This window comes from Homo sapiens, chromosome 22, assembly GCF_000001405.40.
Source record: "Homo sapiens chromosome 22, GRCh38.p14 Primary Assembly".
Taxonomy (NCBI): Eukaryota; Metazoa; Chordata; class Mammalia; order Primates; family Hominidae; genus Homo; species Homo sapiens.
Window position 1 is genome coordinate 32,762,393 of NC_000022.11, and position 16,444 is coordinate 32,778,836.

General features: G+C 46.4%; 1 protein-coding gene across 18 annotated transcripts in view, besides 1 other annotated feature; it reads right to left on the minus strand.

Moving 5' to 3' along the window:
• The window catches only part of SYN3 (synapsin III), a 550,562-nt gene that overhangs the window by 254,573 nt on the left and 279,545 nt on the right, over window positions 1-16,444 (minus strand). The gene's annotated exons all lie outside the window — the stretch shown is intronic.
• Window positions 1,506-2,016: an enhancer, noted in NCBI's record as "H3K27ac-H3K4me1 hESC enhancer chr22:33159884-33160394 (GRCh37/hg19 assembly coordinates)". NCBI's record gives its function as "activates a minimal SCP1, AML or CMV promoter by ChIP-STARR-seq in primed H9 embryonic stem cells {active_cell/tissue: H9 hESC(primed)}" and the evidence as "EXISTENCE:reporter gene assay evidence [ECO:0000049][PMID:30033119]".

Here is a 16,444-nt window from a genome sequence, read left to right on the forward strand (position 1 = left end):
GCAATGGCTTTAGTTTCTTTAACTCAGTGGGAACAACAAACAAACAGAAAATGTCTTTCTCTTTGTTATAACACATCTGAATTGGAAAAGGACCAACAAGATAAAAGGTTGTGGTGGAAATGGTGCCAGATTAGAAATTAATTCAGGATACCTGGGATCTATTTCAGCTTTGGTGTATTAAGCCATGAGACCTTGGGGAGGTCACTTCCTAAAGGGCATAAAGATGGCCAGGGTCGCGAAACCCAGTGTCTGCAACCAGGAAGTCAGGTGATATAGAAGAACAGGTCTGCTGATGGACAGAGCGAGGTGGGGCGGGCGCCCTTGCATGAAAGTCACATGGACTTGGGGGCACGCCCTGGTTCCCACTTATTGATAGGATGATCTGGGGCAAGTCAACTCCTTCTTTCTGAGCCTCAGCTTCCCCATTTGTAAGGTAAGGAAAATAGTAATCATCTCAAAGGGCTGTTGAGAGAATGCACAGGGAAGAGCTTGGTAAGCCAGAAAGCATGAGTCAAATAGGAGATACTTTCATTACTCTAGACACTTAGGAGCAAGGAATATTAATCACATAGTCCTCAAGGGGACCAAGGCTAAATAACAATAGCTACAATAACAACAATTAGTATCTTATTGAGTGCTTACTATGTGCCAGACACTGTTTTGAATGCTTTGAATGTATGAACTCATTTCATCTTTTTTTTAAAGTGTAACATAACATATACACAGTAAATTAGTAAAGTGATCTATTTTTTGTTGTTGTTGTTTTTTTTTTGAGATGGAGTCTCACTCTGTCGCCCAGGCTGGAGTGCAGTGGCACTATCTCAGCTCACTGCAAGCTCCGCCTCCCGGGTTCACGCCATTCTCCTGCCTCAGCTTCTCGAGTAGCTGGGATTACAAGCGCCTGCCACCACGCCTGGCTAATTTTTTTTTTGCATTATTTAGTAGAGATGGGGTTTTACCATGTTAGCCAGGATGGTCTTGATCTCCTGACCTCATGATCCGCCTGCCTTGGCCTCCCAAAGTGCTGGGATTACAGGCGTGAGCCACCACGCCTGGCCAAGTGCTCTAATCTTAAGAGTACTTCTTGATGAAGTTTTACATTGGTACATATCATATGAGCTCATTTAGTCTTCAAGGCAACCCTACACTGTTTATTTCCATTTTACAGATGTGAAAACCGAGGCAGAGCCAGGACTCAAATCCAGACAGTCTGCATGCTGGTAGCCATGCAGTACTGCCCGGGCAATCCAGTATATCGAGATGGAGAGTGTCTGGAGTGACTGGGAGTCTGACAGGTGAAGCCAATGGAGGATTCTGCCTTAGTAGGAAACTTTTTTTCTGTTTGTTTTTGTTTTGTTTTTTCACTTCCCCAGGTGAGGAAAGGCCAGGATCCCAAGCTCAGGGAAGAAAGTAGATGAAGCTGAAAGGAAAGGGGAAGGAGATCAGGGTATGGAAAAGCAGGCTGAGATAGTAGGGGGAGGATTTGAGGGAAGCGGACAATTGCTGCTGATGACTGATGCCTCCAAAATTTGGTGTAGAAGCCCCCCCCCCCTTTTTTTTTTTGAGACTGAGTCTCACTCTGTCGCTCAGGCTGGAGTGCAATGGCGCAATCTCGGCTCACTGCAACCTCTGCCTCCCGGATTCAAGTGATTCTCCTGCCTCAGCCTCCCGACTAGCTGGGATTACAGGCATCCACCACCACACCCAGCTAATTTTTGTATATACTTTTTAGTAGAGACGGGGTTTCTCCAGGTTGGCCAGGCTGGTCTCGAACTCCAGACCTCAGGTGATCCACCCGCCTCGGCCTCCCAAAGTGCTGAGATTACAGGTGTGAGCCACTGTGCCTGGCGAAGACCCCATTTTTAATCAGCTTTCTTAAGGAACTGGCAGACAGAGGATCAAGCACAGAAACAAAATGTCCCCGTTTTCTGTAACTGCTCACCACTCCCAGGCTGGGGCCCACTCATTTCCCCATGGATGTCACCCCCAACCCCCAACTTCACCCTTTGTAGAGAAGCCGGCAAAGACTGCGTTGAGAAAGCAAGTTTGGAAGAGAATGACCCAACAGCCTCACTGCTGCGGGTGCTGGAGGAACCAGTGGGCTGCTTTCGGATCACGAGAAATGGATCAGAAACGCAGCAGAAGGCAGCCTCGTGGCCTGGAAGAACACTGGGCTGGAAGGCAGGTTCTGGTCTTGGCTGGGGTTCCAGTGTTGGCTCTGGCTGTGGATTTACATAATCTCCCGCTAATATCCCAAACTGGGGGAAGTCACGTGATGTCTCTGACTCTTGGTGCCTCCCCACTATGGAATTAGGGGCATTTAAAACTTACTGCAAATTCTATCTCCTGACTGGAGACCCCAAGGCGTGAATCTGAACTCAGCCCCTTCAGCAGGTTGAAGTTCACATGTGTGAACATTGCAGTGGTGGGGAGCAATGGCAAGCCTCTGCCATCTGTCCTCATTCTGATTCATGGACATTCTTCCTCCCTCATAGTCTCTCTCCTCAAAGCTCTTAAGTAGGTTGTGAAATCATGACTGAGCCGATTGACATCATCTCCTTATTTGGGAGGCAGGAAGTTGTTCCCCACCCCCACCCTCTTGTCCTTCCAGGGCCCCATCCTGCGCCCCCACCCCACCCCACTGTCCAGTTTCCGGCTTCCTGAGGGTCTTTGAGACCTCGCCGTTTGCTGGCCTGGATGACAACTATTTTTCCCTGGTTTGAGAGCGAGAGAGTGTGTGAGTGTGGACTGTGTGCACCAGAGGGCCAGAGAGGCAGTGGTGAGGGTCACTCAGAACAAGCCAGTCCCAAGAAGTTAAAATTAGCTCTGGGAACTGGAATGTCGGGGTCTTCAAGGAGCAGCAGCTGTGAAAAGAAAGTACAAGGCGAGGAAAGAAAATACACCCCATCCCACACCCGCCACAAACCTCGCTCGCCCACTTCATCTGCCCTGGGGTCTCTGCAGCTTCTCACTCCTCCCGGGATATCTCTGGCCAAGTCCTTGAGGCCGATCAGTGGGAATTTCCCCCTGTATGCTGTCATTTTCCTCTCTGGTAACCACAGAACAAGGTGGCTGAGGATTCCTGATAGGACAAGGTTTAATTGAAAAACAGGAAAGTGGAGGACAACTTTGGGGCTGGGGTGGTGACGATAATGAGAAAATGACAGGCGAGAGGGTGACAGTGGAGGAGGGTCGCATAGCAAGGAGGGTTCGCCACAAACGGAAACTACTCCTGGGAGAGCTGGACACGTGAGCGTTAAGAGTTTGGGCATGGCTGGCAGGAGCGGGAGGCCTGGGAAAGGCTAGAGATAGAGAAGGGGAGGAGGAAGGCTGGGGGACTGTGCACCCCTTTGCACAGAGACAAAGATTGGGTGTTCAAAAAAAGATCACACACCACTGAATGCAGGATCTTGTGTTTTTGAATGGTTGGAGCTTATGTGTCAAACTCAGGCTGTGTGGAAGAACCTTAGAGAAGGGCCAGGAGCCAATCTGAGATGGAGAACTTATAGAGAGTAATCCCTTATAAGCTGGGTCTGAGATTCCAGTCCTGTAAACCCAGGGGCCCTCCAAGCACTAGGCTTCCTCTTCCAGCTCTTTGTCCAGATGAGAGAGGCTGGTTTTCAAGGTTTTTGTTGTTGTTGTTCATTTGTTTGGTTTTTGTTTCTGCTGAAAAACCAGGTAGCTTGCACCTCTGTGGTTTGGAGAACTGGAGGAGGTATTTGGAGCCATACAATTCTGCCCGACATGGGGAGAAAGACTGGGGCGTGGGTGAGATATAGAGCCTTTGGAAAAGGCACTTAGGGAAGGGATCAGGTGGAAGTGGGTATGTGCTGAGCACCTTTTGTGCTTTCCATGACCCCAGCTGTGTATCTGCAGGCTTTCTTCTTCTACTTCTCATGATCACCTAGAATAGAAGCTCCAGGAGGAAGAAACATGTACAATTTTCTTTACCAAGAAATTCCCAGCACTGGAAACAATGCCTGGCACATAGTAGGCCCTCCACAACAACCTGTTCAATCAGCGTGATACAGCAGTTCTGCAAGGTCACTGCTGTTGCCATCTTTTATAGATGAGGGACCTGATGCTCAGAGAAGTGGAATCATTTTCTCAATGACCCACAGTGAATGAAAGCCAAGATTTGAATCTCCGCACCCAGAAGGCCATACCTATTGCATCGCACAGCCAATCCTATTCTTATGCACTGCTGTTTCACATCATCACCTGATTTTGTCCTAGGCTCCTGTCCCCACCTCCGTGAGCCCTTCTACTTTCATCATGTCACTGAGAACCAAATATCTTGATGTTTTCCCCCAGGTACCCAGTCTAGGATTCCCAGATATGCTCCAATTCATCCTTCCTCTAAATAAATAAAGTATCAGTCCCTTGTACCCTTCAGAATAAACCTTTCCAGAGGTTTACTTTGGTTGAGTGGGAATGGGTATAGACAGATTCCAGCTGAATGCTGCACTGACTGGGCAACACTCCAGATTATAGAATTAAATACGCTGATACTAAAATACAGGACTTACGTGTGCAATTCTGATAGACAGTTGGGTATCCACAGTAGACCATTTGCGACCCCATGGTCTCAACTTCCTTCTTTCCCCTGACAGTTCTTACATCTCTCCCTCCCTTCCAAATCCAAATCAGTTATAGGCCTGTGCCTTCCGGGATAGAATGAATCCTATTCTCCAATCATCGGAATTGACTCAATCCCTACTGCGCATCAGGGATGCTACACATGTTATTTGTGTACTTTGCACACCTGCCTACTCACAACTCCTTTTCCTCTGCCCACAAGCACACTTGGGGTTTTGCTTTCGTAAATAAAGTCAAGTGTTCTTCTGACCCTCAAGTAGCCTTCTCTTCTTATTTTTGTCTCCACGTTTCTTAAAGGAATATTATCTGGTTACTGCTTTCATGTCCCCTGCAATCCAGTTTCTGCTCCCACTACTTTCCTAGGATTGCTCCTTCAAATGATTGCTGGTGACTTCACACACACACATACATGCACACACACACTCTTATTTGCATGATTTATCTTCCCTCATTTTGAGATCCATGTTTTGACTGAATTTTCATTTGATTGGAATACATCCTTAAGTAATTTCCTCAGAAAGGGCCTATGGATGGTATCCTAGGGTGTTAGAGCCCCTCTAATATGAATGGCGTCATGACTAGGTAAGGGAATTCTAGTTCATATTCATGTCTTTCATTAGTGTAAGAACATTATTCCACTGTCTTTGAACTTACATTGTTGCAGATGAGTAATCCGGTATCAGCTTTCTTTTCTTTTATTTTCTTTGTAAGTAGACTGTAATCTTTCTTTCTCTGAGAACATTTAGGATTTTCTCTTTAGAGCTCAGAATTGTCACCAGATTTTGTCTTTGTATTGATTTTATCATTCATCTTTCTAGGACTTGGGGACTCTTCTCTACCAACACTTCCTTCTCTTGTTGATCTCACTCAGCCTCATGACTTTAAATATAATCTATGTGTTAACTACTCCCAAATTTACCTAGACTCAATTGCTTCTTCAACATCTTCCCCTGGATGTCTAACACGCATTTCTAGTTTAACATGTCACCCCTTTGATCAGACAAATTAGGTATTTCTTTAGTTCAGAGACATTTTCTTCTATTATATCTTTAAAAGTATCATTTCTCTTCCAGTTACTCCTCTCTCTCCTTCCAAAGTTCCAATTATTTGCACATAGCTCTGTTGGGTCTGTTCCTTCATGCCCCCTATCTTTTTGCTCATGATTTCCTTTTCTTTGCATTTCTGCTAAGTGCCCTGAGATAACCCAGCTCTGGCTTCCTTCTGGGAAAATTCAGTGGTCTTTCTCCTTCTCCTTGGTCTCCCTGAATAACTTTATACTCCTTTTCTTTCAACTGTCTCATTTCTAGGCTGCTGGAAAGACATGCTTCATCTACATATTCGCCCCTTTCTCTGCCTTCTTTGATGGATGGCTTTCCTCTTTTTACCCCTAAAATTAGGATGTTTCCCAAGTTTATGCCCAACTCTCTTCTCTTTATATTTCTTTCCTGGGAGACCTCACCTACATTCTCAGGTTCAATCGCCACCTCTTTGCTGATGATTCTACCTTTATCCCAGACCTCCTTCTGAGCTCCAAGCCATATATGTATAATCAACTGCTTCCTGGATATCTAATGTGTGTATCCCATGGGCATTTCAAATATATGTTCAAAACAAATCTTGCCTTTCTATGTACTATAAACACTCTGTTTTATCTTATTTTTTCTCTTGGTTGCAAAAATATACCACATCTGAACATGGCTGGAGAAAACTGTGACCATGAACTGCAGGACTCATCCCATAGTACTTCCTGAGCCCATTCATTCTCCTACTCTTCCAGGCAACTATTTAACATTGCTTCCTTTCATCTCACACTTCTCATATGTCCTTCTCCTCTAGATTCTCAGTGACGATGATTTTGTTTCAAATTTCATTGAAAACATTAGAAGCAATAAGAAGAGAACTGCCAAAGCTCTCAGCACCACATCTACCCACCTTCCAGTACCTATTCCATATACCCTGCTTTCCCTCTTGCTCCTTTGCATGAACCCTGTGCTCCTACTCCATGGAAACCCTTCACTTGTGCTCTAGGTATCACCCCTTTCGCCGATTCTAGGACAATGCTCCACCCACATCTCCTCTTTCTCCGGCATCCACTTTTCTTTTTCTAATGGATCATTTCCATTCATTTCAACACGCCATTGTAATATCTTCCTTAAAAATAAAAACCCTTTCTTGACCCTATATTCACCATCAATTACCACCCATTTCCCCCCTGTTCTACTTTACAGCAAAAAGTCTATACCTCTGGATTCTGCTCTCTCTTTCATTCTCTCTCGACCTCACTCCCATCCCTCCACCTGCTATGGTCATCAATGACCTCCATGTTGCCAAATATAATGGCAGAATTTCAGCTCTTGTTTTACTTCGCTATGAAGCTGCACTTGACATAGTTGATCATTCCACCTCTTTGAAACACTTTCCTCACTTGGCTTCTGGGACACCACTCTCTCACTCTTGATTCTCATCAGCTGAGTTGAACTCAGTCAACTTTGCCGGTGGCTCCTTATCTCCCTGACTTCTGTGTTTGTTTTTTTTTTTTTTGGAGACTGAGTTTTGCTCTTGTTGCCCAGGCTGGAGTACAGTGGCGCGATCTCGGCTCAACGCAACCTCCGCCTCCCGGGTTCAAGTTATTCTCCTGCCTCAGCCTTCCTGAGTAGCTGGGATTACAGGCATGCGCCACCATGTCCAGATAAATTTGTATTTTTAGTAGAGATGGGGTTTCTCCATGTTGGTCAGGCTGGTCTCGAACTCCCGACCTCAGATGATCCGCCTGTCTCGGCCTCCCAAAGTGCTGGGATTACAGGCATGAGCAACTGCGCCTGGCCTCTCCCTGACTTCTAAACACTGTAGCACTCCTGGCTCTGCTCTTCTCTCTCCACACTCCCTCCCCTATTGATCTCATTCAGTCTCATGACTAAATATCATCCATGTGTTGACAACTCCCAAATTTACATAGATTCAACTGCTTCTTTAACATGTCCCATTGGAGGCCTAATAGGCATTTCTAGTCTAATATGTCAGCAGGCAAACCCTGACTTCTAGCCCCCCTGACTGTTCAATCTGCAGCTTTCCCCATCTCAGTTGATGGCAGCTCCTTTCATTTGCTCAGCCCCGAAACCTTGGAGTCACCCTTAACTTTTTCTCTTGCACTCCACATCCAATCCATCAGCAAATTCTCCTTCAAAATAAAATCAGAATTGACCTCGTTTTACCACATCTATCACTAACTCCTGATCCAAGGCAAATTCACCTCCATATGCTCTCTCTATTTCTGTTCTTGCCCCACAACCAATCTCTTCTCATAGCAGAGTGGTGATGCCTTCAGATGTAAGTCAAATGCCACTCTTCTGCTCAATGCTCTGCAATGACTTCCCATCTCCCACTGAATAAAATAAACTCCTTACCATGAGCCACAGGGCCTGTGTGATCTGCTCTTCCCTATCCCCATAACATCTCTACCCTCATCTTCTGCCTCTCCTCGTCACTCTCTCTGCTCCTCGTGCTGCTCCTAGAACACCCCGAGTTTGCTACCACCTCGGGGCCTTTGCACTTGATGTTCCCTTGTTCTAAAACCTCTTCTCCCAGAAACCCACATGGCTCTCTCTGTCTCTGTCCTTGTTCATGTCTCTGCTTCGTTGGAGAGACCCTCCTTACCCATCATATAATACAGCAACTACATGGTTCCTGACATTCCATATTCCCCAATTAATAGGTGTAAGGCCCTGAGTCAAGGCTCTTAACAGTTCTGTGTCTCTGTTTTCTCCTCTGTAAGGTAACTATAGCAAGAGCACCCATTCTATAAGGATGCTGGGAGGATTAAATGGATTACTCGATATGTAGCACACGGAAGAGTGCCTGGCACATATGTGTTCAATTAACACATATGTGTTCAGTTATTATTATTATTTATTTATTTTACTTTAAGTTCTGGGATACCTGTGCAGAACGTGCAGGTTCGTTACAGAGGTATACATGTGCCATGGTGGTTTGCTGCACCCATCAACCCATCATCTAGGTTTTAAGCCCCACATGCATTAGGTGTTTTTCCTAATGCTCTCCCTCCCCTTGCCCCTCACCCCCCAACAGGCCCTGGTGTGTGATGTTCCCCTCCCTGTGTCCATGTGTTCTCATTGTTCAACTCCCACTTGTGGGTGACAACATGTAGTGTTTGGTTTTCTGTTCCTGTGTTAGTTTGCTGAGAAGGATGGTTTCCAGCTTCATCCATGTCCCTGCAAAGGACATGAACTCATTCTTTTTTATGGCTGCATAGTATTCCATGGTATATAACCAGCCTTGCCCTCTGAAGTTGTCCACCATGGAGATGTTAAAATTCTGAAAGTTGAGTACCGGAGGAAAAAGGTTCAACCACAGAGTTGGTGACCAGAAGCCACCCCTAACCTCCCTGCCAGGCTCTTTGGGCCCCTGTGCACTGCATCTGTAACACAGCACAGTGGCCCCTGCCCAGGCTGGTGGAAACAACACTTGGTGAAGAATGGGCACCAGGACCAGGTCTGCATCTACTAGCTGTCTGACATTAGGCCAGTTACTTGATCTTTCTGAGCCTCAATTTTCCTTCTTTAAAATGGAGATAATATCTGCCTGCCTCCCTCACAGGGGAGGGTCACAGGACACACTGATGCCCAAATACATCTACATCATATTCGGTGTACATGACTGGCCATTTCAAATACCCTACAAAAGATGAACAATGCCCATTATTCATTTTCAAGCTTGGGGACTATATTAAACAATGCACACTGCACATGGAGATTACCCGTGAGTCTCTGTGGTATTCATTCATTCCCAAAGCAAATGGTCATTCATGACATTTGTGCTACAGTTTTACTGGCCAAGGAAGACACTCAGAAACGAATCTAGATCTCTCTTCCAACGGTCAAAATTAGAAAGGGGAGAGGGAGTACATTTCTTAGGCAGCTGCTGCTTGGAAGCAGGTTTGTTTGAGGGTTGGGGAGCACAGCCGTTTAATGTGGGAAGGGTGGTTGTGTGCATGAGGCTGCACTAGGCTGTCTGGAGAGCAGTTTTAGCCCAGAGAGGATGGGGCAAAACCCTCCTAGGACATCTGAAAAAGCCATTAAGCCTGGAAGAAAGGATCCTACATTGGAAAATAGACCTTTTCTGCTAGAAACTTCCCTCATTCTTTCTGTCCCTGAGGATAGTGCTGGGCCACAGGGGGGGAGAAAAGCAGGACCAGAAGGTCAAGAAATGCTGCAGATGTTGGTGTTGTTTTGTTCTTCTTCTTTCTTTTTCTTTTCTTTTTTTTTTTTTTCAAGAGGAGGGAGGCAGGTATGAGGGAGATCAAGGCAGCCCTAGGGAGTATCTAACAAAATGGAGAACCCTGGTGTGACCCCAGATACAGATGTGGAGTGAGCCTGGGGCTTCCAGAAGGGCAGAATCAGAGGTAGGAGCTGTCCCATCTCGGGCAAGCTTCCTTGTCCTTCCAGAACAAGGGTCAGCAAAGCTTTTTTGTATAGGGACATGAGATAGGCTGAAAAATGATCCGCCTCCCTCCACCAATGATATCCTCACCCCTAAAGCCCATAAATGTTAACTTATTTGGAAAAAGAGCCTTTACAGATGTGATTATGTTAAGAATTTTGAGATGAGGAGATTATCCAGAATCATCTGGGTGAGCCCCAAATGCTCACATTTGGGCAGAAGAGGCAGAGGGAGACTTAAGACAAAAAATGATTAGTGTAGGAGACCATGAGGCCAGAGGTTGGAATGATGTGGCTGCAAGTCCGGGAATACTTGCAGCCAGGAGAAACTGGAAGAGGCAAGAGAGGGACTCTCTCCTCAGGCCACTGAAGGGAGGATGCCCTGCCAACATCTTGATGTCAGCCCAGTAGAACTGACTTCGGACATCTGGCCTCCATAACTGCGAGACAAAAAATCTAGCTGGTTTGGGGTTTCCAATTCTGTAGTAGTTTGTTACAGCAGCCACAAGAAACTAGTGCAAGCTAGATAGTAAATATCTGGGGCTGTATGATCTCCCTCGCAACTACTCAACTCTGATGTTGCCATGTAGAAGCAGCCATAGACAAGGAACAAATGAATAGGCATGGTTGTGTCCCAATACAACTGGGGAGCAAAGGCCCTGTCCAAAGAATGGAACAGTGTCGGGCGTGGTGGCTCATGGGTAATCCTAGCACTTTGGGAGGCTGAGGTGGGCAGATTGCCTGAGCTTAGGAGTTCAAGACCAGCCTGGGCAACACAGTGAAAACCCTGTCTCTACTAAAATACAACAATTAGCCGGCCATGGTGGCATGAGCCTGTAGTCCCAACTACTTGGGAGGCTGAGGCAGGAGAATTGCTTGAACCCTGGAGGCGGAGGTTGCAGTGAGCCGAGATTGTGCCACTGCACTCCAGTCTGGGCAACGGAGCCAGACTCTGTCTCAAAAAAAAAAAAAAAAAAAAAAAAAAAAGAACGCAACAGTGACAGTAGTGATTCAGCTTCAGTAGGTTCTTGCTGGCTGGGGACAAAGATCTGAGACGGCCAGATCCTCCTCTTTCTCAAAAGAGGTGGGAATTACAGATTTTTATGAGAAATTTTCTGGATGTAATTGTTGGTAGCTATCTTCAATTCTGGTTGATGTCATGCAGACTGAAGAAAAACACATCTGTTCAGCCATATCTAGCCCTTGAGCCTCCAATTTGCACCCACTGGTCTATTGTATGCTGGGCTCTGGGCTGGGCCTTGAGGACAGTGTCTGTTCATAAGAGGATCATGGTCAAGTGAGGGAGACAGACACACTGATGCAGTGAAGTATTACAGGGCCTGCAACTGAATTAGGTAGAGGGTACTATGGGGGAGGAAAGGTTGCTTCTATCTGAAGAGGAAGGAGGGAGAGTGAGGAAGGGCTGCAGGGAGAACTGATATCCAAAGTGAGTCTTGCAAGATGAGCTGGAGTCAGAAGTGGACAAGGTTTGGAACGGAACTGCCAGTAGGAGGGCTGGTAGAAGCAAAGGAAGGGAGATCCGGGGAAGCAGAATGTGTCTGAGGAGCAAGAAGTTCCAGTGTGTGCTGGTCCCAAGGACAGGAAAGAAAAGAGTGAGATGGGCTTGGAGGGAGAGGAAGGGAGGGTCTTGATGGGATAGCCATGAACGGATCTTGGATTGATCCTGGGGACAAGAAAAACCATGAGGGTTTGTTATGAATTGAAAAATGTAACCTCCAAAAAGATATGCTCAATCCCTCACCCTTGGTCCCTGTAAATGTGACCTTATTTGGAAATAGGGTCTTTGCAAATGTAATCAAGTTAGAATGAAGTCAGTGGATTAGGGCGGGCTTTAATCCAATGACTGGTGTCCTCATAAGAAGAGGAAATTTGGACACAGACACACAGAGAATGCCGTGTGATGATGGAGGTAGAGGTTAAAACTGGGAATGCCCAGGATTGCTAGCAACCACCAGAAACTGGAAGAGATAAGGAAGGACCCTCCTCCCCTCGAGTCTTCACAGAGATGAAGCCCTGTCCACACTCTGGAGGCAAGAAGACTGGGTAGGGTGCTGTTGGAACACCACAGGCAAGAGTTTTCAGGAGCCTCAAATAAGGCTCACCCTCTCCTCTGTTTTAAGCATTGCACTTTTTTTTTTTCTTTTCCCGATATGGAGTTTTCTTGCCCAGGCTGGAGTGCAATGGCGCACGATCTCAGCTCACCGCAAGCTCCGCCTCCGGGGTTCAAGTGATTCTCCCGCCTCAGCCTCCCGAGTAGCTGGGATTACAGGCATGTGCCACCACACCTGGCTAATTTTGTACTTTTAGTAGAGATGGGGTTTCTCCATGTTGGTCAGGCTGGTCTTCTCCTGACCTCAGGTGATCCACCCGCCTCGGCCTCCCAGCTTTGCACTTTTAAATGAGCAGAGTGTTTAGAAACTGAACAGGGGTCTTGTCTGGTTACCCATTCCACTCATTCAACAAATGCTGAGGGCCTCCGTGGAGCTGAGGCAGATAAGACAAATGCCAATCCTGAAGAAGGCCCCCAGCTTCCTCCTCTGACCTATCTGTCTCAGCCTGCTTGGACAGCCATAAACTTAGCAGCAGATTTTATTTTCTCATAGTTCTGGAGGCTGGATGTCCAAGATCAAGGCTCTGGCTGGTGAGGGCTCTCTTGCTGGCTTGTAGACAGCCACCTTCTCACTGTGTCCTCATGTAGCCTTTCCTTGGTGTGCATGCAGGAGTGTGGAGAGGTGGACTAGGGAGCAAGTTCTCTAGAGTTTCTTCTTATAAGGACACTAATCCTATGAGATCAGGGTCCCACCCTTCTGACCTTGTCTAATCTAACTACCTCCTTACAGGCCCTATCACTAAATACAGCTGCACTGGAGGTTGAGGCTTCAACATGAATTTTGGGGGGACATAATTCAGTCCTTAGCAGCATCTGAGCCACAAACACCTGTGGAATGCCAAGAGAGTGGTGACCTGGTCCTCCCTGTTCCCACTTCCCATAGCAGATAACTGTCGACGAGGAGGGTGACTGAGGCAAAAGTACCCCTTCTCCTTTGCATTGCAGTAGAGGACACATGTATCCTTAGCCTAATGCATCCTCCAGTCTGCACAACCCAGAAGGGTGGCCCCAGTCATACAAACTTGGCAACACTCAAACAACCCACCAACCTCAAGGTATCATGGTAGTATAGCCATAAGTCCTTGAGATCAGGAGTTCTGCTGCCAAGGCTACATTCTGCCACTTCCTGGCCCTTTGAGATAATCCCTCTCCACCTCTCAGAGCCTCAGTTTCCCTTTATGTAAAACAGGATGATTAACAATCATAGCTACTGTTTCTAAGTACCTACTAAGGGCTTAGTATCTGTTGTCAGCTGAAAAATGGCCTTCCAAAAGATATTCATGCCTAATTCCTGAAACCTGTGAATGTTACCTCCTGTGGCCAAGAAAAAGGAAGTGGCAGGGGGCTGTAGGGGGTAGAGGTTTGCTTATGTGATTAAATGAAGGACCTAGAGATCAGGAGATTATCCTAGATCACCCAGGTGGGCCCTAAATACGATCACGTGTATCCTTATACGAGGCAGGCAGAGAGAGATCTGGTGCCCGCAGAGAGAGAGATCTGGTGCCCTCACAGAGGACGAGGCCAGGCAGATGGCAGCAGAGGTCAGAGCTTTGTGTCCACAAGCCAAGGAACTTGGACAGTCATCAGAAACAGGAAAGGATCTCCCCTAGAGCCTCTAGAGGGAGCACAACCCTGGCGACACCCTTTTTTTTTCAGCCCATTGAGACCAGTTTGGGACTTCTGGCCTCCAGAAATGTGAGGGAATAAATTTCTGTCATTTTAAGTCACTTGGTGAATGGTACTTTGTTATGGCAGCCCAAGGAAAGAAACACACACCCATTATCTCGATAAATCCTCAGAGTCACCCATGAGGCAATAAGATAGTCATGCCTTACCAGGTGCCAGGTAGTGTTCATTCAATATTCACAACAGCACTAGGAGGCAGATACTGTCAACATCCCATTTTACAGATTAAGAATTGCCACCCAGAGAAGTGATGTAGCTTGCCTAAGGTCACACAGCGGGCACCTGTGCCAGGCTTTGAATGAAGGGTCTGGCTCCAAGTTGCTGCCTTAGGCCACCTTGAGGCGAGCTCTTTGCACCAGAATGGATGCTCTGTTTCCTGAGCCAGTCACGCAGCCTTGAGCAATGGCTTACCATGCTCCCTCTGCACTACCCTAAGTGGCTTATTCTGGGATCCTATGAGGATCAGATGGGACAGAGGGCATGAAAAGCATTTTGTAAACTGTAAAGTGCAGTGCACGGAGAAGGCATAAGAATTCAAAGTGGAAGCAAACCTGCTTACCTAGCTGGCCATGGCAAGGCTACCCTGGTCATCACTGAGATAGGTGGGGACACCAGCAGCAGGAGCCGCCCCCTATCCCTTGAGCACACACAGGAAAGTTTCTAAGCCTCGAAGTGCCCGTGGGTGAACTCACAGATGTTACCACCCAGAACCACAATGCTGACCTCACAGCATGATCACTAGATGTCACGTGAGTTCTTCAAGCCTGAATCCAGCCTTGTACCAGCTCATCAGCACCTCCTCCCGACCTGCCCTTCTCCGTGGCTTTCAAATTCAGAACCAGTTCCTCCCAGAATCACATAATTTCTTTAGCTGTAATGACTCCTTCATTCCACAGAGAAGGAGACAGGCAGGAACATTTAGTGACCCATCGAAGACCACACAGCTAGTATATTCTATCGAAAGCATCCTTCGTGTCCCAGCTGTGGGTCTCGGTATTCCCAGCTCCCCATTCATCTCAGGCAGCTAGAAATTCTTTCTGGTTGGGAGAATCCTAAAAAGGGGAAACTGGCATATGGGCACATTAGATTTCATTTCATGGCCTGGAGCCAGCCTGCTCCTTCTTTTTTTTTAATCCAATTATTATCACACAGAAACCTGTTTAGGAAGAAAAGTCCTGACTCGGTGCAATATTGTCCCCAGTATGTTGGTAGGGACTTTACTTCAGTGGATCTGTCAGAGCCCCAGATGCCAAGTCTATCTAAACATTCTATCATCAGTTCATCATTTTTGCATCCATCCATCCCTCATTCACTGAGCTTCCTGAGCTCCTGTGTGTCGGGTACCGTGCTAGACACTGGGATATAAAGAATATCCCCAAAGAACCCTCAGATTTACAGGGAGAGAGGCAAGAAAATAAATAATAGCAGCATTTCTGAAACTCACATATTAGCTTTTCTTGCTTATGATTTTTGTCATTTTCTTGTTATAGTTTACTCTTCATATTTACTTAGTATTTTCTTTGAATTAACTCTTTTTTTTGTCTTACTTAAATGCTAGCTTTGGGTTCACCCTAAGCAATAATATCCATGAATTCATGGATTTAATTGGCTAGTTTTTTCTGACTACATGTTGTACTAAAAAGTTTAACTATTAAAGAAAGAATTCCTGGGATGCCACCTAAAACCATCCTGCGTCTCAGAGGTATGTGAGGCTTCCAGTGAGAAACACTACATTATTGCTAAGGAGGCCCCTACGTGTTAGAATAGAGTCTGCCAGCTGCCACTCCAAGAGGACAATGCTTTTATCCTATCAAGTGCTGGCTGGTGAAGACACATTAGGATTAATGGTTTGATAAACAACATCTCAAGGCAGGACATTCTATGGCAGGAAGCAGATAAGTCTGTGCCTTTCACTCAAGGATCTCAGAAACATTAACTTCTCAGTTTTCATGCCCTCTAAGTGGGAGACAAGGCTATTCTCATGCCTCATTTCCTAGCTACAGGAAAAGGTGTTCTGTGATGTAAGACTGCATTTTTTTTTTTGAGACAGAATCTCACCCTGTCACCAGGCTGGAGTGCAGAGGCACGATCTTGGCTCACCACAACCTCCGACTTCCGAGTTCAAGCAATTCTCCTGCCTAAGCCTCCCAAGTAGCTGGGATCACAGGCACACGCCACCATGTCCAGCTAATTTTTGTATTTTTTTTTTAGTAGAGATGGAGTTTCACCATGTTAGCCAGGCTGGTCTCGAACTCCTGACCTTGTGATCCACACACCTTGGCCTCCCAAAGTGCTGGGATTACAGATGTGAGCCACCGCACCCGGCCAAGACTGCATTTTTTTAATCTCCTGTTTCCATCACAACACAATGACGGATGATATTCCCATGGGAGCCAGTATCAGGGTTTACGCTGAGTGAAGCGGAATCCCTAGGACTTGCATTTAACTGCAGCGTCACCGAAGAAAGTGCGTCAAAATGCAAGCAAAAGAGGATGACATTATTTTGAAGACAACCTTCAACATACCTTAATTTGTTTCTTAATAAGAAAGCAACACACAAACTCCAGGACTT